The following is a 26,829-nucleotide window of genomic DNA, read 5'->3' as shown; positions in this document are numbered from 1 at the left end:
TATACTGCTCGGGCTGGTCTCAAACTTCTGGTCTCAGGGGATTCTCCTGCCTCAGCCTCCCAAAGTGCTGGGATTACAGGTGTGAGCCACCAGGCTTGGCCTCAATTTTGGACTTCTTTTTTTTTTTTTTTTTTTTTGAGACGGAGTCTCACTCTGTCACCCAGGTTGGAGTGCAGTGGTGCGATCTCGGCTCTCTGCAAGCTCTGCCTCCCGGGTTCACACCATTCCCCTGCCTCAGCCTCCCGAGTAGCTGGGACTACAGGTGCCCGCCACCATGCCCAGCTAATTTTTTGTATTTTTAGTAGAGACTGGGTTTCACCGGGTTAGCCAGGATGGTCTCGATCTCCTGACCTCGTGATCCGCCTGCCTCGGCCTCCCAAAGTGCTGGGATTACAGGCGTGAGCCACCGCGCCCGGCCGATTTTGGACTTCTTATGCCCAGAACTGTAAGAGAATAAATTAGTATTGTTTGGCTGGCACGGTGGCTCACACCTTTTGTAATCCCAGCACTTTGGGAGGCTGAGGTGGGTGGATCACTTGAGGTCAGGAGTTCCAGATCAGTCTGGCCAACATGTCAAAACCCTGTGACTAGTAAAAATACAAAAAATTAACCGGGTGTGGTGGTGCACGCCTGTAGTCCCAGCTACTTGGGAGGCTGAGGTAGGAGAATGGCTTGAACCAGGGAAGTGGAGGTTGTAGTGAGCTGAGATTGTGCCACTGCACTCCAGCCTGGGTGACAGAGTGAAACTCTGTTTTAAAAAAAAAAAAAAAAAAGTTAGCATCATTTCAAGCCACTGAATTTGTGATTTGTTATAGTGGCAACAGGAAACCATTACAAACCCCGACTGACACACAGAGGCATACCCCAGAGTCAAAGCACAGATGTGTGGCTGGGCGCGGTGACTCACGCTTGTAATCCCAGCACTTTGGGAGGCCAAAGCAGGCAGATCGCCTGAGGTCAGGAGTTTGAGACCAGCCTGGCCAATGTGGCAAAACCCCCTCTCTACTAAAAATACAAAAATTAGCCAGGCATGGTGGTGGGTGCCTGTAATCCCAGCTACTCTGGAGGCTGGGGCAGGAGAATCTCTTGAACCCAGGAGGCGGAGGTTGCAGTGAGCCGAGATCACGCCATTGCACTCCAGCCTGGGTGACAGAGTGAGACTCCATCCCCCCCCAAAAAAACAACAACAAAACCACAGATGTGGTCCATTAGAGGGGCCCCATGGAACCACTAAGTAAAACTGTCTCACGCCATGTGAGGCAGTCACAGGGCAACAATCACAGCATCACCCCAGATCTCAATGTTAGGAACACTCCCAAGCACCACGCACTCGGACAGCCAGAGACGATTGGGGCTGAAGTCAGCTGTGGGTTATCACCAGGACCCCCACACTACAGAAACACACATGCCCAGGGTCACTACGGAATCCAACAGGGTGCCCTGGAAAGATATCACACACCGGCCAGGTGCAGTGGCTCATGCCTGTAATCCCAGCACTTTGGGAGGCCGACACAGGAGGATCATGAGGTCAGGAGTTCAAGACCAGCCTGACCAACATGGTGAAACCCCGTCTCTACTAAAATTACAAAAATTAGCCAGGTGTGGTGGTGCACACCTGTAATCCCAGCTACTCGGGAGGCTGAGGCAGGAGAATCGCTTGAACCGGGGAGGCGGAGGTTGCAGTGAGCCGAGATCGTGCCACTGCACTCCAGCTTGGGCGACAGAGCAAGACTCTGTCTTGAAAAAAAAAAAAAAAAGATATCACACACCACGTCCTCCTTAGAAACAATGGTACAGTGACAATGATGGCAACATTCACAACCAAACACACCAGAAGTCCCAGAGTGACACACAGGAGATTGTCTGTCTGAGACTCACAACATCACTCTGGGAGTCAACTGGATTCAGTGCACGGGTGTGCACACACACGAAGGCACTTCCGCCAGGTCCATCTCATGAAAGAGGCCCATGCACCCAAGGGATATGGTACAAAAATAGTTTATTACAAAAGAAATCCAACCAAAATGCTTAATAATTTACATCGTGATCCGTGCCCGTTACGGCCCACCTCTCCCCTCCTCAGTTATCTGGTAGAGAGTGGAGGGGAGTGGCTGTTCCCTGGGTCCACCAGCTCTGGGAGGGGACATGGAAATGGAAGATGTGGGTGGCATTCCGGACAGGGACTGGTGCCTGAGAATGCTGGGGTCAGAGTCCTGGGAGGGAGCGAGATGGGGGAACATCTGTGCTCAGAAGAGGGGGTGTATGGGTAGGTGCATGTGCTTCTGTGCAAATCCTGGTCCCGAAGATGGGGGGGGGGGGCAGAGTGAGATCTTCACAGTTTCCAGAAGGGTTGACCCCACAGGGCAGGGGGGCCCCTCCTCATGAGTCCAAGATCTGCCCCCCCATCCCCCTCAGCTGCCTCCTGGAGCTGGGGAGGGGGGCACCGGCCGGCCAGGGCCTCGGAGGACCCCAGCAAAGGGCAGGAAGGCGGGTGGAGATGGGGAAGGAAGGAAGAAATTGGGAGGAGCCATGGGGAATCCAGGGGGGTCCCTGGGGGGAGACTGGGAGGGTGAGGAGGATGGTGATGCGGAGAGAAGACCTGAGGAAGGAAGAGAGACAGAGGGGTGGGTGGTGAGAGGCTAGACCCAGAGAGCAGGGGCTGGGGCCTGAGATCTGGGTCTGAGGGAGGAGGGGCTGGGGGTCTGGACTCGGGTCTGAGGGAGGAGGGGCTGGGGATTTAAACTCCCGGGTCTGAGGAAAGAGGCATCTGGGGACCTAGACTCCTGGGTCTGAAGGAAGAGGGGCCGGGGGTCAGAAGGAGGAGGGGCTGGGGGTGTGAGGGAGGAGGGGCTGAGGTCTGAGGGAGGAGGGTCTGGAAATCTGGACTCCTGGGTCTGAGGGAGGAGGGGCTGAGGTTTGAGATAAGAGGGGCTGGGGGTATGAGGGAGGAGGGGCTGAGGTCTGAGGGAGGAGGGGCTGGGGGGTCTGAAGGAGGAGGGGCTGGGGTCTGAGGGAGGAGGGGCCAGGGGTCTGAGGGAGGAGGGGCTATGGGTTGGGATTCCTGGGTCAGAGGGAGGAGGCTAGGGGCCTGGACTCCTGGATCTGAGGGAGGAGGGGCTGTGGGTTGGGATTCCTGGGTCTGAGGGAGGAGGCGCCAGGGCTGGAGGTTGGGAACGGTTTCTCACCATTGGAGCTGAGGCGGCTGCTGCTCTCGGGGGAGGTGTTGGCGCTCCGGTCAGGGGAGGGGTCTGGCTGGGAGGTGGAAGCAGGCCGGGTGGCCTTCCCCCTCAGGATGTCGATGACCTGTAGGAAGATGGGCGTGACCATAGAGCCACCCATGCCTCACAGTCCTCTCTCCCATCCCTCCTAGCTCACTGGATCCAGGTGGTGGCCTCTCCACTTCTCAGTATGAAAAGATGGGCAAGGCACTTTTTTTCTTGGTGCCAGTCTCTCCTCATTTCTGGAACTCACACCCGCGCTTTCAGAGGCTCACCCACTCCCCTCCACGCAACGGCACAGACACCCTCACTCCTCTGCGCTCTGGCACACTCGCCTGCAACCAGCCCGCGGACACACGTGTGCAAGGGGCATGTCCACAGCTGCCCCGGCTCACCCTGCGGCTGCGCGCCACCATGAGCGGCGTGTCGTTGTGGCAGTTCTTGAGGCTGCTGTCAGCGCCGCTGCGGACCAGCGTGCGCACCAGCGGGAGGAGCCCGCGGCCGGACGCTGAGTGCAGGGCGGAGCTGCCGGAGTACATTTGCGCGTTCACGTTGGCGCCGTGCTGCGGGACGGGAGGGCCGGGTCAGGAGGGCGCGCGGGCCACCCGGGGTAAGGGAACAGAGGCTGGAGGCCCGGGTGGGTGGCCGGCACGTGGGGCGGCACCGGATCGGGGTGGGGTCACAGGAAGGTAGGAGCGAGAGCCAAGGGCAGGCCAAGCGGGACTGCGTTGGCGGCGATGAATTAACCGGAGCTGGACACCGAGGCCCGCGCCCCAAGGAGTCGGGGGAGCTGGAGGGGGGAAGGACAATGCGTGGACAGGGCCTAGCTGGAAGGCGGGGTCAGCCAGGCCATCGCAGGGCGGGGCCTAGGCCGTTGAGGTGGCAGAGGAGGAATGGGACAAGTTCGTAGCCAGGGGCGTGGAGCCCGAGGGTCGAGAAAACTAGGCCTTAAAGGATCAGAGCTGGACGCGGAGCAGGAGCCGGAGCCAGAAGTGGAAGGCGGGGTCAGAGCTAGGGGCTGAGGCCAGAGCCGGGTTGGGGTCAGAGGATAGGGTGGGCGCGAGGCTCAGGGGGGCTGTACGCACCTGCAGCAGCAGCTGCACCATGCTAAGGCTGTTGTTTTCCACGGCGTGGATGAGCGGGGAGCGGCCGCTCTTAATGTCCTGCGGCGGGGAGGGAAGGTCTTAGTTTCTCCAAGCTCTGCTCCAGCAGCCGGCGACCCGCATCCCGTCCACATCCCATTCGCGGGGTCCAGCCTCTCTCTTGGGTCTGATACTCCAAGCCCCACCCCACCCGGGTGCTCTCCCACGCCAGCCCCACACTGGCCCCGCCCCCGCCAAGACCCCGCCCCTGCTAAGGCCCCGCTCCCTCCCAGCTCCTAGTGCACGCTCACCACTGCGTCGATGTCGGCACCGCGCTCTAGCAAGAGCTGCACGGTTTCTTGGCACTCGGTGTTCACTGCCACGTGCAGGGCGGTGAGCCCTGAGGGAGAGGAGGGCTCGGTGAAACCTAGGCCCGGGCTTTGCGGCCGCTGATGGACTCCAGGTCCGCTGGACAGCCCAGCGGTGCCCCGCGGTAAATGCTTACCGTCATAATTGCGGGCCTCCAGGTCCAACGTGCCCGGAGCTGCGCTGTCCAGCAGGGCTCGCAGGCAGGTCGGGCTGCGGTGCTCGCACGCCAGGTGAGCGGCCGTCTGGCCATGGCGGTCCAGCGCCATGGGGCTGGCACCAGCTGTCACCAGGAGCCGGACCACAGACGGTAATGTGGTGATCACAGCCAGGTGGAGCGGTGTCTGGGGAACAGTGACTGTGAGGGACCTGTGTCCAGCCCTGCTCTCTAGTCCTGCCTCCCCCAGGTTTTCTGAACCCTTATTCCTCATCCTGCAGTCTTCCCCAGGAACAGAAACCTGAGACACCTCCTGTCTCAGATTCAAGAGTCCGGGCCCCATGCTCCTCCTTCCCCAGGACCCAGAAGACTGGGCCTCCAACCTCCTCTTTCCCTAGTACCTGAATTCTGGGTCCCCAGCCCCCTCCCTCCTCACTAGGAGGTCTTTAGGCCCCCTCCCTCTCAGGAACAACCAGTCCGAGGCCCCAGAGCCCTTCTTCCCCAGGAACCAGGAGCCTGGAGCACCTCGCTACTTAGAGTCCAGACCCCAGCCCTCCTCCCTCAGACCCAGGAGTCCAGACCCCCAGCCCTCCTCCCTCAGACCCAGGAGTCCAGATCCCCAGCCCTCCTCCCTCAGACTCAGGAGCCCAGGACCCAGCCCTCCTCCATCAGACCCCGGATCCCAGGCCCGCAGCCCTCCTCCATCAGACCCAGGAGTCCAGGCACCAGTCCCTCCTCCCTCAGACCCAGGGGTCCAGGCCCCAGCCCCCCTCCCTCAGACCCAGGAGTTCAGGCCCCCAGCCCCTCCTCTGTCAGACCCAGGAGTCCAGGCCCCAGCCCTCCTCCCTCAGACCGAGCCTCACCTGCCGTAGGTTGTTGTAGATGTCGAGCTCCCGGCCCCCCTGCTGGAAGAGGTTGACCAGCCGGTGCACAGCTGGCAGGTTACCCTGCACCACAGCAATATGGAGAGGCCTGGGGGTGGGGGAGTGAAGGAATCACAGGCATTAGGGGTTGTTCACCTCTCACCCTCATGCTGTTGGCAATGCTAACTCCAATGTGTTGAATACTTTGGAAATGTCCCCAGTATTCAAACACTTCTCCCCACCCACTCCCTCCATCCTGATTTACCACCCGCTCCCTCCATCCTGCTTTAGCCACCACTGGCTCCCTGCTGGTCTAGTACAGTTCCATCCTCATGGCTTCTCTGCTTCCACCTATGCTCTACTGTCTGTCCCCCACACAACAGCCAGAGGGACCCTTTTATTTTATTTTATTTTATTTGTTTGAGACGGAGTGTTGTTCTATCGCCCAGGCTGGAGTGCAGTGGTGCTATCTTGTGCTCACTGCAATCTCTGCCTCCCAGGTTCAAGCGATCATCCAACCTCAGCCTCCTGAGTAGCTGGGATTACAGATGTGTGCCATCGCGCCCAGCTAACTTTTGTATTTTTAGTAGAGACATGGTTTCACCATGTTGGCCAGGCTGGTCTCTAACTGCTGGGTTCAAGTGATCCTCCTGCCTCAGCCTCAGCCTCCCAAAGTGCTGGGATTACAGGCGTGAGCCACCACGCCCAGTCTGGAACAAAAGTTTTGACTAAAAGGGAGGTGAGGACAAACTGGGATGGGGCCATTGTTCTGGAGGCGGTACAGTCCAGAACCCCCTTCTAGACTGAAGGACTCACTCCCTCAGCTTCTGGGAAGATTGTCAGCTTTCAGACCATTTGGGAATTACCCTCAACTCAAGAGAGCTGCTTGTCCAAGGTCACGCCCCATGTGAATCAAGGGCAGCTGCCCTTCAATGGCATCCAGTCACTGGTTAATGCCAGCATAGAAGGCCTAGCCTCCTGACCCCAATGCTGAAGGCCATTCCAGCTTCAATATTCCCTGTGGGACAGCTGAGGCCGTGTGGAGGCGACACAGCAGCTCAACTTCTCCCTCTGCCCAGATGGGCTTCCTTCATCCCACAGGTGTTGATGGAGAGCATTTCCAATAAACTTCCTGCTCAGTTTCCAGAGACCCCAACCTAGAACAGCTATTCAGAGACTGGTGTGTGTGCATGCGTGCGTGCTTGTGCACGCCTGTGCTGTTTGCATGGGGTGGGGGACAGAGTGGAGGACCCAAGGAGGACTGCGTGTACACAGTGGGTGGCAGGATCTTTATTTAAAGTTTACTAAGTAATTCCTTTCTCACCAGCACCCGTTTCTCTTGTGGAATGTGTCTCTAGAATCCAGTTTAAACTAGCCTCCCAGGTGGTTCTGATGGAGTGCAGAAATCCCGGGGCCAGAGTTGCAAATTGGGCCACAACCCCTCCTAGCGTAGCCGCGTGCTAGGGCAAAGCCATGGGGGCCTTTCGGAGCCTCAGTTTTCTCTTATGTAAAGTACAGCGTCCACATGCCAGGGTGAGATCACGCAGGTGAATCGCTGAACCTGACTCCTAATCCGTGAAAGCCAAATTTAAAAATAAAATGTTGAGGGAGGGGCCGGGGTCCCTGGGAAGGGTCCCCCCTTCTCTGCATCTCCCAGGACGCCTGGCCTGGGTCCCTCTCGGGGCGGCCAGGGTTAAGTGAGGGCAGACGCAGCGAATGATTTCAGAGAAACCGTCCAGGCCTGAGTTCCCATAAACGCGCGGGCCGCAGGGGGTGGGGCGGGGCTGGAGGAAGTGGGGACGGGAGGGGCGACCCAGCCCTCGGACTTCCAGTAACAGGTCTGCTGGGCGGGGCTCTGCTTCCTGCTCCCGGGGGAGGGAAGCCTGTCCCGCCGGGGATCTACCCTGGCCACCCCTGGCACCCCAACTTCCATCCTCGAATGGGGCGGGGGAAGGGAGTGCCCAGCCCAAGAAGACCTAGCTCCCTTGAGGTGTGTGTGTGTAGGGGGGGCGCATAATCCCGAGTCCTCCCGCCTGGGGGACCCTCTGGAACTCCACCCCGCAGAGCTCAGGCTCCAGCTGGCTGCAAGTCCTCCTTATCCCGGCATCCACCCCCAACATCTCTTGGGAGCCAGAAATAGCCCTAACTCTTCTTTAAGAATAAGGACTTCCCCCGTCCTTCAGAGCTCCAGGATCCCAAACTACCTTGCCAGTCCTTGTCCCCTCAGAGACCCAGAAATACAGCGCCTCAAACCCTGGCCCTTTGGGAACACAGACTTTCAGGCCCCTTGGCGTGACCAGTTTCACCAGCCCAACGTCCTGCTGCCGCTGTCGTGAAATTCTTAAGTTTTGAACAAGGGACTCTGCAAATTTCTGTATCTGGTCCTGCCCGTAAAGCCCCTCTGAGTGCCAGGTCCCCAAGCTGCCAAGCTGCTCCTCATCCCCTCGGAGATTAAGGAATACAGTTCCCCAACTTCTGCCTTCTGAGAATCAGAACATCACCCCCCCCCCCCGCCCCCGCCTTCCTGCCCCCTCCCCAGGTTTCTGGCTGCCCAGTCCCTAACCTCTTGGGGGTCCAAATGCCCCAAGGCTCGTACCCGCCTGTGAGGAGATGGAAGCCCAGCCTCCCAACCTTTTGGCTTCTGCGGGGACCCAGACTTAGCGTCCCCCGCCCTCCTCGCCCCCACTGCCCTCCCCCGCGGGTGTGAAGAGGAGCCGGTGGCGCAGGCTGGGGCCGGGCCGCTGCCCGTTCCGGTAAAGTCTCAGCCCCAGCGGAAGGGGTTAAGGTTGGAGGAAGCGCCAGGAGGGGGGAGGCTGCGAGTGAGTGACGGGTGCTGACGTGGGGGAGGCAGAGCAGCTGGGTTGCGGTCAAGTTCTGCGGGAAGGGATTTCCCCCAGCAGGCAGCTGAGGCAGAAGTGTTTGCCTTGGGGGAGAGTCGGAGAGGGAGGGTGTGGGGAGGGCCTGGGGCTGGAGACTGGTGGGCCGGGTGGCCTCTGGCAAGCACCCTGCTTTTCAACAGCATGGACAGCTCACCACTGGGGGCAGAGACTGTCTGATTAAGCCCATTTCATAGATGACCCCCCAGAGGTACCCAGAAGGGGAGGGAACTAGGTTTTATTAGCTCTTTATAATCTAGGCCACTTTCTCCTGCTAGGGCTCTGGAGATGGCCTGCAACCACCCTGGGAGCTCTGCTCAAACATTACCCATTTCCATGCATTGAGCACTTACTGTTTGCCCAGCCCTGTTCTGTGCACTGTATTAATACATGTGTACAAGATCTCACTGAATCCTAATTGTGATAGGTGCTATTATGAGACCCAGTTTCCAAATAGGGAAACTGAGACTCAGGGACATGAAATCACTCAGTGGGCCAGTGGCGGAGCAGCCCTCTGCTACTTCTCTGCAGAAACAGGCCTGTTCATCTCTACCTGTGGTTTCCAGGCCCCAAACTAATTCTCACAGAAGTGCTTTGTATAAATCATGTCATTTCTTCCTCCCAGAGACCCTCACACGCGATGGTTCCTGTTTTTACAGAGAGGGAAACTGAGGCACAGAGGGAGTAGAACGTGGCCACGCTGAGATTCCAACCCAGGTCAATAGAATAATAAGAATCATGATGATCAATTGCAGTGAGTGCTTACTATGTGCTAGGCACAGACCAAACCCTCCCGTGCAGGACTTCTCAGCAGCCTCACAAACATGTTCTTCAGACTGCAGGTGATAAACCATGGGGGTTGTGAAATCAATTTAGGGGATCTTCAAATTAATGTAGTGGGCTGTGACCATGAAACAATGAAGTCGACTAGAATAGAAAATGGCAAAGTAAAGCTGTAAGCTGGGCTCGGTGGCTCACATCTGTAATCTCAGCACTTTGGGAGGCTGAGGTGGGAGGATCACTTAAGCCCAGGAGTTTGAGACCAGTCTGGGCAACATAGCAAGACTGCTGTGTTTCTACAAAAAAAAAATACAAAAATTAGCCAGGTGTGGGGGTAGCGTCTGTGGTCCCAGCTACTCAGGAGGCTGAGGTGGGAGGATCATTTGAGCCCAAGAGATCAAGGCTGCAGTGAGCTATGATTGCACCACTGCACTCCAGCCTGGGTGACAGATCGAGACCCTGTCTCAGAAAAAAAAAAAAGAAAAAGAAAAAAAGAAAAAAAGAAAATGTCACAGTAGAACCCACATAGTAAGGGCGAGTATTGTTTCATTTTGTGCAATTTTAATTTCAAGTTTGTGTGTGTGTGTGTGTGTGTGTGTGTGTGTGCTGGGTTTGAGATAAAATAATAGTAATATTAACAAACACTTACTCAACATTTATGCCAGGTCCAGTGATAGTTTTACATGTATAATTCATATAGTAAGTTAATCAATGAACTGTCTTTCTTGTTTTTAGGTTGTGACAAAATATCTAAAGACCACCGTTCCAAAAATAGTGTTCTAGGGGTGGGCTTGGGGCTCATGCCTGTAATCCCAGCACTTTGGGAGGCCAAGGCGAGTGGATCACTTGAGGTCAGGAGTTTGAGACCAACCTGGCCAACATGGTGAAACCCTGTCTCTACCAAAAAATACAAAAATTAGCCAGGCTTGGCAGTGGGCACCTGTAGTCTCAGCTACTCGGGAGGCTGTGGCATGAGACTCACTTGAACTTGGGGGGCAGAGGTTGCAGTGAGCTGAGATCGTGCCACTGCACTCCAGCCTGGGCGACAGAGTGAGACCCTGTCTCAAAAAAACAAAAACAAAAACCAAACAAAAATAGTGGCCTAGGAGGTAAATGCTCTCAAGGTGCCCATTCTTCAGAGGAGGAAACTGAGGCTCAGAGCAGGGAAGGGCCTTACTCAAGGTCACACAGCCTGTGGTGGAGACCGAGTTCTGACTCAGGTCCACTGGGAGCTGAGTGGCCCTGTGTTATGGACGGCTGGTCTTCCCAACCACCCCTCCCCTTAATAGGGGACTGTCACTCACGTGTCTCCGTCCTCATCTGCACGGGTGGCCATGGCGATGTCAGCAGAAAGGGGGTGTTCCATGGGGCACATCATGGGGTATAGGGGTGTAGGCAGGTTCACCAGAGGAAACGGGGAGCCCATGGCCCGAGTGGGGTACAAAGGCAGTAAGGCTCCTGGACAATGGAGGACAGAGAAGGGACATGGGTGAGGCCACACCCACAGACCCTCAACCCGCCCCCCACTTCTAAAACTTTGCTCCTGTGGTGTCACCTGCCCTTTCTCCTGGGTCCCTTTTGCATCCCATACAGGGTCCTCAGGGCCTAAAACAAACCCCCTTCCACGTCCCTCCTCTGGGCTCTGGCAGCTTCCTCTCCCTCTAGGGCTGGTCACCCTCATTGTCACTTATCTTCTGACCTCAATCTCCAATCAGACAAAGGGTCCCTTAAGAACAGAGGGTGCACCCATCATCACCTAGCAGGGGACCCCAGGGACTGTCTGCAGAGTGATTTTGTGGCTGATGAATTGCTGGGTGCAGGGTGTGGGATAAATGTAGAGTGGGTTTGGGGAGAGTGGAGGCAGAGAGGAGGTGTTACCAGAAGCCTGTTCAAATTGTTTTTGAGATGTAGTCTCGCTCTGTTGCCCAGACTGGAGTGCAGTGGCACGATCTTGCCCCACTGCAACCTCTGCCTCCCAGGTTCAAGCGATTCTCCTGCCTCAACCTCCCAGGTAGCTGGGATTACAGATGCTGACCACCACGCATGGGTAATTTTAGATCAAACTGTTTAAAAAGGGGCCACGGCAGGCCGGGCGCTGTGGCTCATGCCTCTAATACCAATACTTTGGGAGGCCGAGGCGGGCGGATCACCTGAGGTCAGGAGTTCAATACCAGTCTGGGCAACATGGTGAAACCCTGTCTCTACTAAAAATACAAAAATTAGCCAGGTGTGGTGGTGCATGCCTGTAATCCCAGCTACTCGGGAGGCTGAGGCACAAGAATCCCCTGAACTTGGGAGGCGGAGGTTGCAGTGAGCCGAGATCACGCCAATGCACTCCAGCCTGGGCGACAGAGCAAAACAAAACTCTGTCTCAAAAAACAAAAACAAAAACAAACAAAGGCGAGGGGACCATGGCAGCAGGCAAATCCATACCAACCCATCACACAGACGGGGAAAACTGAGGCCTGCTTTCTCACTCTTGGAATAGGAAAGCTGGGAGGCCGTGGCAGAACTCCTGATGCACATAGCTTGAGGCTCTCCAGCTGTCACGCTGATGGGGTGGAGGGTGCAGAAACTACCTAAAGTTTTGGGGCTCTGTAGAACGGCTCTCTGCAGCTTTGGGGGTCAATTGGGGATGGTGACGTGGCCACAGCTGTGGTAGAGGACACCCCTTCTTGAGATCAGGGATGGAGATAGGATGGAGAGAAGAGTGTGTGGTCTTCGTCATCTGCTGATCCTTGTGGGCCCTCTGTTCTTGAACTCCCAAGTTTCCAGGTCCTCGTATCTCCAATACCAGGCCTTGAGGCCTTGAGGCTTTCTGTCTGGAGACCCCTGAAATTTTCATCCTGCCTCTAAATTACCCAAAGTCTCAGAATTACCCAATCTTAGGATCCTCAGTCCCCTGATCCCTTCTGCCCACCTGATCTTGACCTCAAATAGGACCCTGATCACTTGTGGCCCCACATAACTGAGTACCCAGAAACCCGGGTCTCTGTTCTCCTGGGTCCTCAAGACCCCCTGGTATCTGGGTCCCTGGAGCTCTGGTTCATTTCCTTGGATCCTTGTGATCCCAGATATTGGGGTGCTCAGAACCCCATCTCTGTTTTCATAATGCCCATGTCTCCAGATATCTTGGTTCCTGAGATTGTGACATCCTGAGATCCTCAGTATCTGTCTCCTTAGAACCCCAGTCTCTGTTACCCTGACTCCCTTTGATTCTAATAATATCAGGATACAGGGAACCCCAGTTTCTCCAGCCCAGCTCAGCTTCCTCATAACGCTACACATCTGGCTTAAGAGCTTGTACTTTCTTGCCCCTAGGATACCAGGCTCTGTGCCCTGATTCCCTGACACCCCCATATTTGTACCACTGGGCATTGTCCCTGGCCCCCCCCCCCCCACGTCACTCAGCCCCTGGGCTTTGCCCCCCAGGGTCCCCAAATCCCCAGATCCCAAGGCACAGCTTACTGGCTCCCCGATGATCTCATATCTATATCCTTGGAACCTGGGCTTATATCCTCTTGTCCCCCAGGTCCCTGGAGAGACACCGGTTTGTGCCTCAAGCTCTGCCTCCTGGCTCTGGTGACCCTATGCTCTGTGTGGATCCCACCCGGCCCGGACCCTCGGGGGCCACTCACCGGGGTAGTAAAGCGCCTCCGGCCGGGCCAGGCCGTGGGGGGGCCCGGGGACCGCCGGCAGGTCGCAGCCGCCGCGCAGAGGGTCCAGGGGGACGACAAGGCCCGCAGCGCCGCGGGGAGCGGCGGGCTCCGGGGAGGGCGCGCGCAGCGGGCGCTTGCGGAGCGGCAGCGCGGCGCCCGGGAGTCCGGCGGCCTTGGGCCGGGTGCGCAGGTCCACGGGCCCCTCGTCCATGGCCCCCGCGGGGCATCGGGGCATGGGGCCGCCGGGGACGGCGGCCGGAGAGCGGCTGGGCTCGGCTGCACGGGAGGGTGGTTTCGCCGGGCGCCGGGACTTCCCCTGCAGCCGGCTGAACTGAAGGGACTTTTGTCGGCCGGGGCGGTGCCGGCCGCCCGCCTCCCCGCCCCCGGCCCCCCCGGGGCCACCCGTACGCCCCAGGGGTTTCCTGGACCCGCCGCTGCTCCCGCCGCTCTGAGGTGCAGCCTGCCCTGCGCCCCGCCCGCGCCGCGCCCCGCTTGCCCCCTCCCGGCCCGCGGCGCCTGGGGCAGCCAGGCCTCGGCGGGGGAGGGAGAGGAAAGGAGGGGTGGGGGGAGAGGAGGCGGGGTCGGGGGGTGGGGGGGTGTCCCCACCCCTGCTGCCAAGGGCCGCTCTCTCTGCCTCTGTTTTTGTCTTTCTGGCCCTATCTCTCAACATCTCTATCTCTGAGTCTGTAACTGTCTCTCTGGTTCTCCTGTCTGAGTAGGTGTTTCTCTCCGCAACCCCGCGTTTGTCTCTGTGTGCTCTGTTCCGTCTCTGTCTCTCTCTTTTGTCTCTTTGTGTCTGTCACCATCTCTCTGCCTCTCAGTTGCTGTCTGCTTCTCTGTCTCTCAGGAGGCCTTGGCATCTCTGGGACGGGGTTTGGAATCTCGGTTCCCACTTACTCGCTGGGTGACCTTGGCCAAACACTTCCCCTCTCTGAGCCGTTTCCTCCTTAGTGGGAGTGAAGAGACGCACCCGGGGCAGGGACTGGCACTCGGCAGGCGGCCAGGAACGATTCCTCTCCCTCCCCTCTTCCATCTCTGCCACTCCACGTGCCTCATCAGCTGTGGGTCTAAAGGGGCTGGGGGTGGGGTGAGGGTGGGGAGCGCTCCACTGATTGTGTCTCTGCACTCGTTGGGGGCCCTGCCCCCAGCCGGGGCCCGCGGGGCACCGGGGTGGGTGCTCGGAAAATCCTAGGTGCACAGAGAGAAAGAGACATGGAGACAGGCGCAGAGATCTTGAGAGAAAGAGAGATAGCAAGAGACACGGACACCAGGCCAGAGTCAGCGCGACCGAGGCCGGTGCTGCAGGAGCGGGGAGCAGTTTGGCTTCCCCCCGACTTCCCCTCCCACCTCGAGGAGGGGTTGATGGGTGGGGAACAGGCTAGGCGGGTTGGGGGCATGACTCAGGCTGGAGATGGGAGGGAGGGAGGAGGGAGGCGGGACTCTTCCCCGTCTCCTCCCCTCCTCTCCCTCTCCCCGCCCCGGGGTGGGGCCCCGAAGGTCCGGGGCTTTCCCGGATTTCCCTGGGGGCGGGGCAGCCGCTGGGGTTGAGTCCGGGTCACTGAGTCACAGGAGGCGGAGAGGGAGGCTTTGGGGACACAGGGGGCGGGGCATGGGGGCTGCACCCCGGACTTGCCCAGGGGGCACGCGGCGTCTCTCTGGTTCTCTCCCCCGGTCTCCTTCTGTCTTCGAAACTTGCCTGACCTCCCTCTGGTTGTCTCCTGCCCCGCCCTCTGTCTCTGTCTCCCCATCTCTGTTGCTGTCTCTGTGTCCCCTGGGACCTTGAAAGTGGGTATTGGGGCCCCGGGAAGGGACTTTGGCCGGACTCGGGCCCCACCCGAGTGGATCGTTAACCCAGGATGTGAGAAGTGGCTGTGTGGAGAGGCCTCACCCCTTCCCTTCCTTTCGACCTCTCTCTGGATCTCCCTTATCCCCCTTCATGGCGAAACATCCCGAGCACAGACCTGTGTTAATTCCACCTCCACCCCTTGCTCCCGGTGGGACCTCAGACAAGCCATCCCCTGCCTTGAGACTCAGTTTGTTCTTCTGGAAAATGGGACCAATGGCAACCCCTGCCTGCTGGTGTTGTGGGGGCCACAGCAAGGGAAGAGGGGAGGAATTCGGTTGGACAGGCTGGGGGCTGTGTTCCCTGCCCATCCAACCCCACCCCTGGGGACCCTCAGACACAGGAGAGGGGTGTGGAGCACTATCCCAATGCACAGAAAGGAAAGCTGAGGTTTGGAGGGGCGAGGCTTAGGGTGGGGACCCTCAGAGGTAGGGTGGGAAGGACACCCAAGCCTGTCCCACTCCTGGCATCCCAGGGCAGCTGGTGCAGTGGTTCCAACCTAGCAGGACTGTAGAGGGGAGAAGATGTGATGGGTCCGGTGGGAGCTTCGAAGGGCTGGGAGAGACGGTGCTGCTGGAAGAGAGGGTGCTGATGGTTCTCTGAGGTTGGAAGAGGGATAAAAGGGTCAGAAGGAGGAGGATCTGAAGAAGGAAGATAGGTCTGAGAGAGAAGTAGATGGTTTAGTGGGAGGAGGGGGAGAGGATCTGAAGGAGGAGGACAGGGTCTGTTGGAGGAGGTAAGGGTCTGATGGAGGAAATAAGGGTCTGAGGGTGGAGGCGAGGTTTGGAGGGAGGAGGTGAAGGTCTGAGGGAGGAGACAAGGGTCTGAAGGAGGAGATAAGAGTCTGAGGAAGGAGGCGAGGGTTTGAGAGAGGAGGTGAGGGTCTGAAGGAGGAGGTGAGGGTCTGAAGGTGGAGGTGAGGTTCGGGGGGAGGAGATGAGGGGCTAAGGGAGGAGGTGAGGGTCTGAGAGAGGAGACGAGGGTCTGAAGGAGGTGGGGGTCTGAGGGAGGAGGTGAGAGTCTGAAGGAGGAGATAAGCATGTGAGGAAGGAGGTGAGGGTTTGAGAGAGGAGGTGAGGGTCTAAAGGAGGAGGTAAGGGTCTGAAGGTGGAGGTGAGGTTTGGAGGGAGGAGGTGAGGGTCTGAGAGGAGGTGAGGCTCTGAAGGAGGAGGTGGGGGTCTGAGGGAGGAGGTGAGGGTCTGAAGGAGGAGATAAGCATCTGAGGAAGGAGGTGAGGGTTTGAGAGAATAGGTGAGGGTTTGAAGGAGGAGGTAAGGGTCTGAGGGAGGAGGTGAGGGTCTGAAGGAGGAAGTGAGGGTCTGAGTGAGGAGGTGAGGGTCTGAGGGGAGGGGAGAGTATCTGAGGGAGAGGGCACAGTCTGAGGAAGTCTGAGAAGCACTAAGTGAGGGGACGCAGCTCTGAGGGAGGAGGAGAGAGTTGGAGGGGAAAGAAGGGTCTGAGGAAAGAAGATTTGGAGAGAGTCTGAGGGTAGAGGCCAGATCTGAGGGAGAAGAAAGAGGCTCAGGGGAAAAGATCTGAGGGTCCGAGGGTGGAAGGCATGGACTAGGGGAGGAGGAGCTGGTGGGGTGGAGGGGTGGAGAGGCGTGCCTCCGGAGCCAGCAGGGACCAAGGGGAGGGAAGGGAAGGGAGGCTGGGAGGCAGCCCCGCCCTGCAGCTGTCTCTAATTTCCCAGAATCTTCTGCTCTCAGGAAAGTCCCAGCTCCCACAGCAGCCTCCCTCCAATGTCGGGAACGGAGGATGCGGAACCAGGATGGCCACCCCCACCCTCCCCCGGCTCCTTGCACCCCAGGCGGAAAGGACTAGGGTCTCCTTTCTCTGGGCCTTGGCCTCTGGAGGGCCCCCACCCGCAGGGGCAGCCCCTGGATGAGTCTTAGAAACTTCCCAGAGGAGGCCAGGAAGTTCTGCTTGGTGTCTAACCACTTTCCCCTCATGCAGGCCGCCCTTTGTACCTGTTCAGATCTCCTCCCCAGCTGCTGTTTCTTTTTCCCCAACCCATCCTGGGGGAGGAAAGGCCAGGAATTTACCTGCTCAAAGTCCTGAGAGGGAAACGAAATTCCATCTGGAAGTCTGTAGGCTTGAGGCAGCTTTCTTGCTCTCAGGGGCCTCAATTTCCCTTTCTAAGAGGAGAGAGTAGGGCTGGTCAGGGCCTAAGTTCCCATCTGGCTCAATTACTGGGTCTTGTCCTGCTTTTTTTTTGAGACAAGATCTGGCTCTGTCTCCCAGGCTGAAGTGCAGTGGTGAGATCATAGCTCACTGTAGCCTTGAACTCCTGGACTCAAATGATCCTCCTGCCTCAACCTCCCAAGTAGGTGGGACTACAGGCATGTGCCGCAATGACTGGCTAATAAAAAAAACAATTTGTAGACTCAGGGGGTCTCACTGTGTTGCCCAGGGTGTTCTCGAACTCCTGGGCTCAAGCGAACCTCCCTCCTCGGTCTCCCAAAGTGCTGGGATTACAGGCGTGAGCCACCGCATCTGGCTTCCTTGTCCTACTTTGTTTTGAATTGAGGCCTGGGTCCAAGTCCTGTCTCCTGATCGTTAGCTTTGTGACTTCCGGGCAGTTACTTAACCTCGTGGAGCCTCAGCTTCCTCATCTGTAGAGTGGATCACATCAAGAAAATATGACTCTGTCCCATGGGGTCTGATGTATAGAAGGCTCTTGATGCAATTTAGCTGCTATTAGTTTTATAATAATAATAATAATAATAATAATAATAATAATAATATAACATTATATATTATTATTGTCCTCATCAAATATCCTGTGTTTTCAATAGCAGGACCTGCTTCATTGGGGAAAATAGAATTCAACATGCTGGGCTTAGAGACATAGTTTTGAGCCCTGGCTCGTCCATGTGCTAGTTATGTGACCTTAGGCAGGTGGCTTTCCCTCTCTGTGCCTTCCTTGTGACTTTATTATTTTTTAATTTTTATTTTTTGAGATGGAGTCTCGCTCTGTCGCTCAGGCTGGAGTGCAGTGCCATGATCTCGGCTCACTGCAATCTCCAATCCCTGGTTCAAGCAATTCTCCTGCCTCAGCTTCCCAAGTAGCTGGGATTACAGGCGTCCGCCACCATGCCCGGCTAATTTTTGTATGTTTAGTGGAGACTGGGTTTCACCATGTTGGCCAAGCTGTTCTCAACCTCCTGACCTCAAGTGATCCACCTGCCTTGGCCTCCCAAAATGCTGAGATTACAGGTATAAACCACCATGCCCAGCCCCTTGTGACTTTAATAGTGGCGAATGGGGCCGGGCATGGAGTGTGCTCCTGTAGTCCCAGCACTTTGGGAGGCCAAGGTAGAAGGAAGAATCCCTTGAAACCAGGAGTTCAAGACCAGTCTGGGCAACAAGGGGACACCCTGTCTCTACAGATTTTTTTTTTTTTGAGACAGAGTTTCCGTCTTGTTGACCCAGCTGGAGTGCAATGGCGCAATCTCGGCTCACTGCAACCTCCACCTCCTGGGTTCAAGCGATTCTTCTGCCTTAGCTTCCTGAGTAGCTGGGACTACAGGCCCGTGCCACCATGCCCAGCTAATTTTTGTATTTTTAGTAGAGACGAGGTTTCACCATATTGGCTGGACTGGTCTCGAACTCCTGGCTTTGTGATCCGCCTGCCTCGGCCTCCCAAAGTGCTGGGATTACAGGTGTGAGCCACCACACCAGGCTTACACAAAATTTTTAAAAATTAGCTGGGCTCAGGAGGCACCTGTAGTCCTAGCTACTTGGGAGGGTAAGGTGGGAGGATTGCTTTAGGTGTAAGGCTGCAGTGAGCTATGATCATGCCACTGAACTCCAGCCTGGGTGACAGAGTGAGACTCTGTCTCAAAATAATGGTAATAATAATAATAACAGGATGATAACAGATCCTGTTTCACAGGCTTACTGAGCAGATTAAATAAGAAAAGTGTGTGGAATAAATGAATGAATAATGTTCATTTCTGTCTCCACGCTGCTGGCCTTAACCCTTACCCTATCCAGCAGACCAGGGCCTCCTTCTCACCCTTTTCTACTCACAGAGGAGACAAGACAGAAACATTCACTCCGGGCTGAGTTGCAACTAAGAATTGGCCCACTTAATCCTCTTAACACCTTGTAAGGAAAATTCAGCTAAAAACCCAATTTTATAGAGGAGGAAACAGGCACAGAGAAGTGAACTCACTGCCCGGGTCACACGGTGAGGAACTGGGGAGAGCTGAGATTTCAAGCCAGGTCCCTGTGACCCCAGCACGCTTCTGACCTGGGAGAAGTGGCCATGAGTCTCGGAGACTGCAGGTGTGCCCTTCCAGCTTGATTCTAGGCCCCTTCTCCCTGGGAAGAAATGGTTTAGATGGGGAAACTGAGGCATGGAGAGGGAAAGTCATATGTCCGAGGACACCCATGGAGATTCGCACCCTGGAACTCTTCTCTGCTGCCTCCTGGTATGGGGAGGGTCCGTGCGTGGAGAGAGGATGGCATTGCAGCAGGAGGGAATAGAGTTAGACTTAAGGGGCCGGGCATGGTGACTCACGCCTGTAATCCCAGCACTTTGAGAGGCTGAGACTGGAGGGTCATCTGAGGTCAGGAATTCAAGACCAGCCTGGCCAACAAGGCGAAACCCCGTCTCTACTAAAAATACAAAACTTAGCCGGGCGTGGTGGTGGGCGCCTGTAATGCCAGCTACACGGGAGGCTGAGGCAGGAGAATCGCTTGAACCCAGGAGGCCGAGGTTGCAGTGGGCTGAGATCGTGCCACTGCGCTCCAGCCTGGGTGGCAGAGCAAGACCCTGTCTCAAACAAAAAAGAAAAAAAAATAGAGTTAGACTTAAGAGTCCCTTGAGGAGGAACAACCACTAGAGCCTCCAGAGAGGTTCAGGGAGAGCAAGTGAATTCCGCAGACAGAAGGATACAGAGACTCTGGGCCTGGATGGGAAGGGACATGCCCAAGGTCAGGCTGCCTCCAGTCTGGGCCCTGGGCTGGAAGTCCACACGGCTCCGCTCCCTGAGGCTGCTCTGCCCCACCCCCACGGGTGAATGCGGGCCAGCTTCCTGGAGCATGGCCTGCACCTCCTGGTTCCTCCCCACCCTGGAGCCTTGGCAGCTCTGGGAGCTCCTGGCATTGAGCAGAATCAGCCCATCTGGGGCCTAAGCCAAGACTTAATCTTCCCCTTTCTGCCTCTTGCTGGGTCTGCACGCACGACGCTGAGTCAGAGGATTGCGACATCCTCTCTTGGCAGGCCAGGGAGACTGGACACCCTCGTCCCCCCACCCTCTCCGCCGCCCCTGCCAGCTGCCTTGATCAGAGAGGGGTGATTCGGTGGGGGGAGTGTGGAGATCAGCATCTGCCCTGGGTGGGTGGATGGGGGTCTGGGAAGGCGGGGCATAGGAAGGAAGGTCACAGTGGTCTCAGCGAGGTGACAGTAGACAATCAGGTACTAGTGGGCTAGTGTCCTCATCTGTGAATGGGGCCCTGTCTAATTGTTTGGGTTCCAATCCCAGTTCTGTCACTTACCAGCTGTGTGACCCTGGGCAGGTGATTTATTTACCCTCTCTGAGCCCCAGTTTCCTCATCTATAAAATGAGGGTAAAAACAGTGCATGTCTTCCGGCGGTGTTGTGAGAGTCAAATGAATTCACACACGTCAGCACAGGCCTGGCACAGAGGAAAGTCTCAGTAAATGGAAGATATTATTTTAAAATGATTGTTATTATTCATATAGGTATGGGAGTGGCAGCCACAGAGACAGGCAGCTCACATCCCCCTTCAAGAAAAAACCTGTTGGCTGGGTGTGGCGGCACATCCCTCTAATCCCAGTGCTTTGGGAGGCCAGGATGGGAGAATCACCTGGGCCCAGGAGTTCGAGACCAGCCTGGGCAACAGAACAAGACCCCGTCTCTACAAAAAAGTACATTTTTTTTTTTTTTGAGACAGAGTCTTGTTCTGTTGCCCAGGCTGGAGTGCAGTGGTGTGATCTCGGCTCACTGCAACCTCCGCCTCCCAGACTCAAGAGATTCTCCTGGCTCAGCCTCCCAAGTAGCTGGGACTACAGGCACATACTACCATGCCCAGCAAATTTTTTTTTTTTGAGACAAAGTTTCACTTTGTTACCCAGGCTGGAGTGCAGTGGTGCAGCAACCCCTGCCTCCTGGGTTCAAGTGGTTCTCCTGCCTCAGCCTCCCAAGTGGCTGGGACTACAGGCATATGCCACCAATCCTGGATAATTTTTGTATTTTTAGTAGAGATGGGGTTTCGCCATGTTGGCCAGGCTGGTCTCAAACTCCTGACCTTAAGTGATCCTCCTGCCTCAGCCCCCCAAAGTGCTGGTATTACAGGCATAAGCCACCATGCCTGGCCTCTACAAAAAAATATAAAAATTAGCCTGGCATGGTGGTGGTGAGCCTGTGGTCCCAGCTACTTGGGAGGCTGAGGCGGGAGGATTGCCTGAGCCTGGGGGGCTGAGGCTGCAGTGAGCTATGATCATGCCACTGCACTCCACCCTGGGTAACAGAGTGAGACCCTGTCTCAGAAATTTAAAAAAACAAAACAAAACAAACAAAAAAAACGGACTTTTGATCTTGCTGCCAGGCATGCAGAGAGAGCAGACAGCCTCTGACATTGGCAGTTGACTCCTTTGAGGTCTGCTTCAGCTTACCGGCTGGGGCATGGTCTCCTGGGCAGTCTCCAGCCAATGACAGGTGGGGTTCAGAGGTGCTAGCCATTTCTGACCAGGGTGGGACTTCTCTAATGCAAGAGCCTTCCTGTAGGGGGGGCATTACAACTTGACAGTCCCCCTTGCTCACTCCTCTTGCTTCCTCCTTTCCTTTCTGAGGTGCTGTGCCCTGCATATATATATATATAGATAGATACACACACACACAACACACACACACATATATATACACACACACATATATATACACACACATATACGTATATATGTGTATATATATGTATATGTGTGTGTATATATATACACACACACGTATGTATATATATACACACATATATATATTTAAGATATGTGTGTGTGTGTGTGTGTGTGTGTGTGTATTTAAGAGATATATATGTATGTAAGAGACAGGGTCTCACTCTGTTGCCCAGGCTGAGGCTGAGGTGCAGTGGTGCGATCATAGCTCATTGCAGTCTTAGCCTCCTGGGCTCAAGCGATTCTCCCACCTCAGCCTCCTGAGTAGCTAGGACCACAGGCGTGATCCTCCCACCTCGGCCTCCTGAGTAGCTGGGACTATAAGTGTGTGTCATCATGCCTGGCTAATTTCTTTTTCTTTTTGTTTTTTGAGACGGAGTTTCGCTCTTGTTGCCCAGGCTGGAGTGCAATGGCGGGATCTCAGCTCACCGCAACCTCTGCTTCCTGGGTTCAAGCGATTCTCCTGCCTCAGCCTCCCGAGTAGCTGGGATTACAGGCATGTGCCACCACGCCTGGCTAATTTTGTATTTTTAGTAGAGACGGGGTTTCTCGATGTTGGTCAGGCTGGTCTCAAACTCCTGACCTCAGGTGATCTGCCAGCCTCAGCCTCCCAAAGTGCTGGGATTACAGGCGTGAGCCACCGCACCAAGCCATGCCTGGCTAATTTCGAAAATTTCTGCAGAAATGGGATTTTGCTACGTTTCCCAGGCTGGTCCATAAATCTTTCGCATGCCCAATTCCGTATAATCATCTGTCTTCTGGGGGAGCTGAGCTGTGATGATGGCACTGGAGTCAGACAACCTGACTGAGTATTGGCTCTGCTACATACTCATCTATCTCTTTGGGCCTCAGTTTCCCTGTCTGAGTTACAGAATAATGACAATGAGAATAATAACACCATGGCCGAGAAGAGCTAGTGAGTCAGCAATATAGCCCTTGGCAGGATTGCCTGGCAGAAAATGAGGACTGTATACGTACATCATCCTCATCCTCATTCCTAAGGAGCTGGGGCTCTGGAGTCAGACCCACTTGGTCTGTTCCCCACTCTGCCAGTTTCTGGCTGTGTGGTCTCTGGCAAGAGTGCCATGCCCTCTAAGCTTTGTTTGTAAAGTGGGGACAGACTCCTCCCTCTCAGGGTAGGGCACTGGCGAGGTCAAGCATGGAAAGTCCCCGCGGAGCCTGGGATGCTGTGGACATGCAATAACCAGGTGATGTCATGGGGGCTGGGGTGATAGGTGAGCCATGATCAGCAGGGCAGGCATGTCTGGCCCCCCCAGTGAGGCCCTGGGTTTGGGCTGACGGAGAAAGGGAAGTCCCAGGGCTGGGGAACCGTGGTGTCCTCCTGCAGAAGTTCCCTGATTCTAGGATTCACCAGGGAGGTGGGGAGGGGAAGCCCCCTGCCCTGCTCATTCGGGCAGCCAGAGGGCAGGGAGAAGGTACGGGAAGGAAGGCACTGACATGGTGGGGGAGTGCCTCCCTCATTGGACTAGAGCTTCCCAAGGATGGGAGGAAGACCTCTGCCATCAGACTTGGAGGCCCCCAAGGTGGGGACATGTTTCCCATCAGTGTAAGAGTTCCTTGAGGGTTTGAATTGCATTCTTCCTCCTCCATCAGATCAGAATCTCCCTGAGAATGAAAGTGTGACTTCTTCACAGATTAGATATCTCTAAAAGTGGATTTTGCTTCTCCCATCGGTTCCGTGAAGATGCATGGGGCATCTGGGTTCAGGACTAGATCTAAAAGGAAAAAAAAATGGGGTGGGGCAGCATGACTCCCTCCTCTGTCTAGATTCTCAATTGAGGGGAGCAATTTTGCCCCTCCTCCCCAGAAGACATTTGGATGAATGTCAGACTAGACTAGAGCTTCCTGAAGATAACAGGCATGCCTCCACCCTCATAGGAAACCTCCCTGTGGGTGGGTTTGGGTCCTGCCTCCTCCATCAGACTAGAGCTCACTACGCTGTAAATCTTGAATCCTTCTTGGGACTAGGAGTGCTGTCCGAGTAAAATTAAGTTTTGTCCATCAAATTAGACTAGGAAATATAAATTTCCCCAGGAGGGAGCTGGTATGTGCCTCCTCCATCAGATTAGTGGTTCCTTCTTGACTTGAGTTGGGGGAAATCATGCCACCCCTATCAGCCTAGCCACTCCCTAAGTAGGAGCCCTCCCATTGAATTAGAAGCCCCTCTTCTCAAGCCCACCCTGGCAGGGTGGAGCATGGTGCCTATCCAGGAGGGACAGTCCCTTTCCTGAAACTCCAGCCTTTTCCCTGGAAGTCGGTGCCTCCCCTACTCAAGGCCACAACCTGCCCTGTGGCCACCAGCATTTAAAAATACAGATGCAAAAGTCCCTCAGGCTCCTGGGAAAGCCGAGGTCACACTGGGCCCTTCCTCATTTGAGCCGGGACATGGCACACTCACCTCCCTTGTTTCCAACCGTCATCCCAGTGTCCCAGTCGGGGCCACCCATACCCTCCAACACATTCCCAGGATACTGAGGATGGGGCAGGGCTGTCTCTACTGCCTCATCCCTGTGGAGTCAGGTGGTTGCAAGTCAGGAGCAAATCCCAACACGGCAGCCTCTCAGCCAAGCAATCCTGGGCAGGCTCAATTTCCACATCCAAAAAGAATGGGACTGGCCCAGGATTGTTGAGGTTGCATCTCCTCCCAGGGAGAGCCAGGCTCTGGGGTGGCTGGTGGGAAGAGAAATAGATGACCACTCTTACTGGCGTCACGCTCTGCAGGAGGTGGGGTGGGGGCGGGGAGGCGCTGGCTTGTGGCCTCTACTCTGAACATCACCTACCCTTGAACTTGTCACTTCAGCCCACTGTGGTCACACAGAGTCACAGCACATTTGCTCACTTCTGGGAAAATCAAATTGTATTTGCTGTTTCAGATCCCAAATTCTCCTGTGGGTTCCTGGTGCACCGTGCACCAGGTCTCTGTGCCAGGGCTCCATGCCAGGGCTCAGAACTTTTGCCCACCGCCCCCTGGAGAGCCACGTCATTTGAGGAACAGAGATTTGGAATCGTGGGATTAAAAAAAAATCCCTGAAAATTATGAAATATAACATGGGGAGAATTGCGTACAATTAAAATATATTGTTCTGTTTCAGAGACTTTTGTAAAGGAAACAGTTAGGTTAAGAAAGTGTTGCTGGGCCAGGCGCGGTGGCTCATGCCTGTAATCCTAGCACTGGAAGGCCGAGGGGGCGGATCACCTGAGGTTAGGAGTTCGAGAGCAGCCTGGGCAACATGGCAAAACCCCATCTCTACTAAAAATACAAAAATTAGTGGGGCATGGTGGTGCACGCCTTGTGGTCCCAGACACTCTGGAGGCTGGGAGAATAGCTGAACCGAGGAGGCGGAGGTTGCAGTGAGCAATATTGCTATTGCGCCAATGCACGCGAGCCTGGGTGACAGAGTAAGACTCTGTCTCAAAAAAAAAAAAAGAGAAAAAAAGAGAAATAGTGTTGCTAGTTCCTCAGAAGCTCCTTCATGCCTCTTCATGCCTCACAGCTCCCTCCCTCCTGGAAAGGTGACCTGTATTTTGTCTTTTATGGTATAATTTTCTTGCTTTTCTTTATATTTTTGCTACCTACGACTACTACGATTTTGAATTTTTAATAAAGGAAATCTTTTTTTTTTTTTAGATGGGGTCTCGCTTTGTCATCCAGGCTGGAGTGCAGTGGGTGTGACCATAGCTCTCTGGAGCCTTGAACTCCTGGCCTCAGCCAATCTTCTGGCCTCAGCCTCCCGACTAGCTGGGACCCCAGGTGCATTGCTACCATGCTTAGCTAATTTTTTTTTTTTTGAGACAGAGTTTTCCTATTGTCGCCCAGGCTGGGGTGCAATGGTGCGATCTCGGCTCACTGCAACCTCCGCCTCCTGGGTTCAAGCGATTTTCCTGCCTCAACCTCCTGAGTAGCTGGGACTACAGGCATGCGCCACCACGCCCGGCTAATTTTGTATTTTTAGCAGAGACGGGGTTTCACCATGTTGGTCAGGCTGGTCTCGAACTCCTGACCTCAGGTGATCCGCCTGGCTCAGCCTCTCAAAGTGTTGGGATTACGGGCGTGAGCCACCATGCCTGTCCTAAAGGGAATCTTATTGTACAACCTCTTGGATCTGGCTTCTTTGACTCAATTTTATGTCTGTGAATTTCATTCATATTCTTTTCTGTTTTTTCTTTTTTTTTTTTTTTTTGAGCTAAAGTTTAAAGTTTCGATCTTTTTGCCCGGGCTGGAATGCAACGGCGCAATCTTGGCTCACTGCAACCTCTGCCTTCTGAGTTCAAGTGATTTTCCTGCCTCAGCCTCCTGAGTACGGTTACAAGTGTGCACCACCACACCTGGCTAATTTTGTATTTTTAGTAGAGATGGGGTTTCACCATGTTGGCCAGGCTGGTCTCAAACTCCTGTCCTCAGGTGATCCATACCCCTTAGCCTCCCAAAGTGCTGGGATTACAGGTGTGAGCCACCTTGCCTGGCTTTTCATTCATATCCTTGAATCTATTGGAGTGTGTTTATTTTTTCATTGCTGTATACTATTCTCTTGCATGGATATAGCACAATTTATTTTATTTTATTTTTTTTGAGACTGAGTCTTGCTCTGTCACCTAGGCTAGAGTGCAGTGGCATGATCCTGGCTCACTGCAATCTCTGCCTTCTGGGTTCAAGCGAGTCTCTTGCCTCAGCCTCCAGAGTAGCTGGGATTACAGGCATGTGCCACCACGCCCAGCTAATTTTTGTATTTTTAGTAGAGATGGGGTTTCACCATGTTGGCCAGGCTGGTCCTGAACTCCTGACCTCAAGTGATCCACCTGCCTCAACCTCCCAAAGTTTTGGGATTACAGGCTTGAGCCACTGCGCTCGGCTGTATAGCACAATTTTTGAATCTATTATTTGTTGGTGGGCAGAAGGTTGGTTTCCACTTTCTGACTGTTTTGGCCAATACTGCTCATGCTCATGAGCGTGCATTTTTCTGCATTCTCCAGGACTAGAATTGTTAGGCTGCAGGGTGTCCCCTGTAGAAGACATGGCCAGACACTTTTCCCACGTGGTTATGC

At 55.3% G+C, this 26,829-nt stretch overlaps 1 protein-coding gene and 1 non-coding gene across 4 annotated transcripts, besides 11 other annotated features; both read right to left on the bottom strand.

The window, feature by feature from the left end:
* Nucleotides 1,983–14,322, bottom strand: BCL3 (BCL3 transcription coactivator). Of its 3 annotated transcripts, none has more exons than XM_011527198.4 (9): nucleotides 12,981–13,319; nucleotides 10,647–10,800; nucleotides 5,687–5,795; nucleotides 4,806–5,010; nucleotides 4,612–4,700; nucleotides 4,304–4,381; nucleotides 3,554–3,781; nucleotides 3,186–3,303; nucleotides 1,983–2,599 (listed from the first exon to the last, which is right to left on the bottom strand). In XM_011527198.4, exons 1-9 carry the CDS (start codon nucleotides 13,234–13,236, stop codon nucleotides 2,412–2,414), a joined length of 1,425 nt encoding a protein of 474 aa, XP_011525500.3. In that variant the 5' UTR covers nucleotides 13,237–13,319; the 3' UTR covers nucleotides 1,983–2,411. The 3 variants fall into 3 exon arrangements, with proteins under 3 accessions (XP_011525500.3, NP_005169.2, XP_016882599.1); NM_005178.5 differs by having other exon boundaries at nucleotides 3,614–3,781; XM_017027110.2 differs by lacking the exons at nucleotides 1,983–2,599; nucleotides 3,186–3,303; nucleotides 12,981–13,319 and adding an exon at nucleotides 13,899–14,322 and having other exon boundaries at nucleotides 3,310–3,781.
* Nucleotides 2,784–3,433: an enhancer, noted in NCBI's record as "H3K27ac-H3K4me1 hESC enhancer chr19:45261851-45262500 (GRCh37/hg19 assembly coordinates)". NCBI's record gives its function as "activates a minimal SCP1, AML or CMV promoter by ChIP-STARR-seq in primed H9 embryonic stem cells {active_cell/tissue: H9 hESC(primed)}" and the evidence as "EXISTENCE:reporter gene assay evidence [ECO:0000049][PMID:30033119]".
* On the bottom strand, nucleotides 3,306–3,370 carry MIR8085 (microRNA 8085). Its single transcript, NR_107052.1, has one exon. It is a non-coding gene; the product is annotated as a microRNA 8085 (primary transcript).
* Nucleotides 4,737–5,388: an enhancer, noted in NCBI's record as "H3K27ac-H3K4me1 hESC enhancer chr19:45259896-45260547 (GRCh37/hg19 assembly coordinates)". NCBI's record gives its function as "activates a minimal SCP1, AML or CMV promoter by ChIP-STARR-seq in naive H9 embryonic stem cells {active_cell/tissue: H9 hESC(naive)}" and the evidence as "EXISTENCE:reporter gene assay evidence [ECO:0000049][PMID:30033119]".
* Nucleotides 6,290–7,000: an enhancer, noted in NCBI's record as "H3K4me1 hESC enhancer chr19:45258284-45258994 (GRCh37/hg19 assembly coordinates)". NCBI's record gives its function as "activates a minimal SCP1, AML or CMV promoter by ChIP-STARR-seq in naive H9 embryonic stem cells {active_cell/tissue: H9 hESC(naive)}" and the evidence as "EXISTENCE:reporter gene assay evidence [ECO:0000049][PMID:30033119]".
* Nucleotides 7,154–7,313: an enhancer, noted in NCBI's record as "active region_14770". NCBI's record gives its function as "activates an Ori minimal core promoter by ATAC-STARR-seq in GM12878 lymphoblastoid cells {active_cell/tissue: GM12878}" and the evidence as "EXISTENCE:reporter gene assay evidence [ECO:0000049][PMID:35858748]".
* Nucleotides 8,034–8,113: a silencer, noted in NCBI's record as "silent region_10739". NCBI's record gives its function as "represses an Ori minimal core promoter by ATAC-STARR-seq in GM12878 lymphoblastoid cells {active_cell/tissue: GM12878}" and the evidence as "EXISTENCE:reporter gene assay evidence [ECO:0000049][PMID:35858748]".
* Nucleotides 8,194–8,403: a silencer, noted in NCBI's record as "silent region_10738". NCBI's record gives its function as "represses an Ori minimal core promoter by ATAC-STARR-seq in GM12878 lymphoblastoid cells {active_cell/tissue: GM12878}" and the evidence as "EXISTENCE:reporter gene assay evidence [ECO:0000049][PMID:35858748]".
* Nucleotides 8,524–8,593: an enhancer, noted in NCBI's record as "active region_14769". NCBI's record gives its function as "activates an Ori minimal core promoter by ATAC-STARR-seq in GM12878 lymphoblastoid cells {active_cell/tissue: GM12878}" and the evidence as "EXISTENCE:reporter gene assay evidence [ECO:0000049][PMID:35858748]".
* Nucleotides 13,081–13,670: a silencer, noted in NCBI's record as "silent region_10737". NCBI's record gives its function as "represses an Ori minimal core promoter by ATAC-STARR-seq in GM12878 lymphoblastoid cells {active_cell/tissue: GM12878}" and the evidence as "EXISTENCE:reporter gene assay evidence [ECO:0000049][PMID:35858748]".
* Nucleotides 14,081–14,210: a silencer, noted in NCBI's record as "silent region_10736". NCBI's record gives its function as "represses an Ori minimal core promoter by ATAC-STARR-seq in GM12878 lymphoblastoid cells {active_cell/tissue: GM12878}" and the evidence as "EXISTENCE:reporter gene assay evidence [ECO:0000049][PMID:35858748]".
* Nucleotides 14,271–14,750: a silencer, noted in NCBI's record as "silent region_10735". NCBI's record gives its function as "represses an Ori minimal core promoter by ATAC-STARR-seq in GM12878 lymphoblastoid cells {active_cell/tissue: GM12878}" and the evidence as "EXISTENCE:reporter gene assay evidence [ECO:0000049][PMID:35858748]".
* Nucleotides 24,398–24,899: an enhancer, noted in NCBI's record as "H3K4me1 hESC enhancer chr19:45240385-45240886 (GRCh37/hg19 assembly coordinates)". NCBI's record gives its function as "activates a minimal SCP1, AML or CMV promoter by ChIP-STARR-seq in primed H9 embryonic stem cells {active_cell/tissue: H9 hESC(primed)}" and the evidence as "EXISTENCE:reporter gene assay evidence [ECO:0000049][PMID:30033119]".

The sequence above is a fragment of the Homo sapiens genome, chromosome 19 (assembly GCF_000001405.40).
Source record: "Homo sapiens chromosome 19, GRCh38.p14 Primary Assembly".
Classification (NCBI taxonomy): Eukaryota; Metazoa; Chordata; class Mammalia; order Primates; family Hominidae; genus Homo; species Homo sapiens.
The sequence above is the reverse complement of the archived record's forward strand: the minus strand, read 5'-3'. Positions and strand labels throughout refer to the sequence as shown.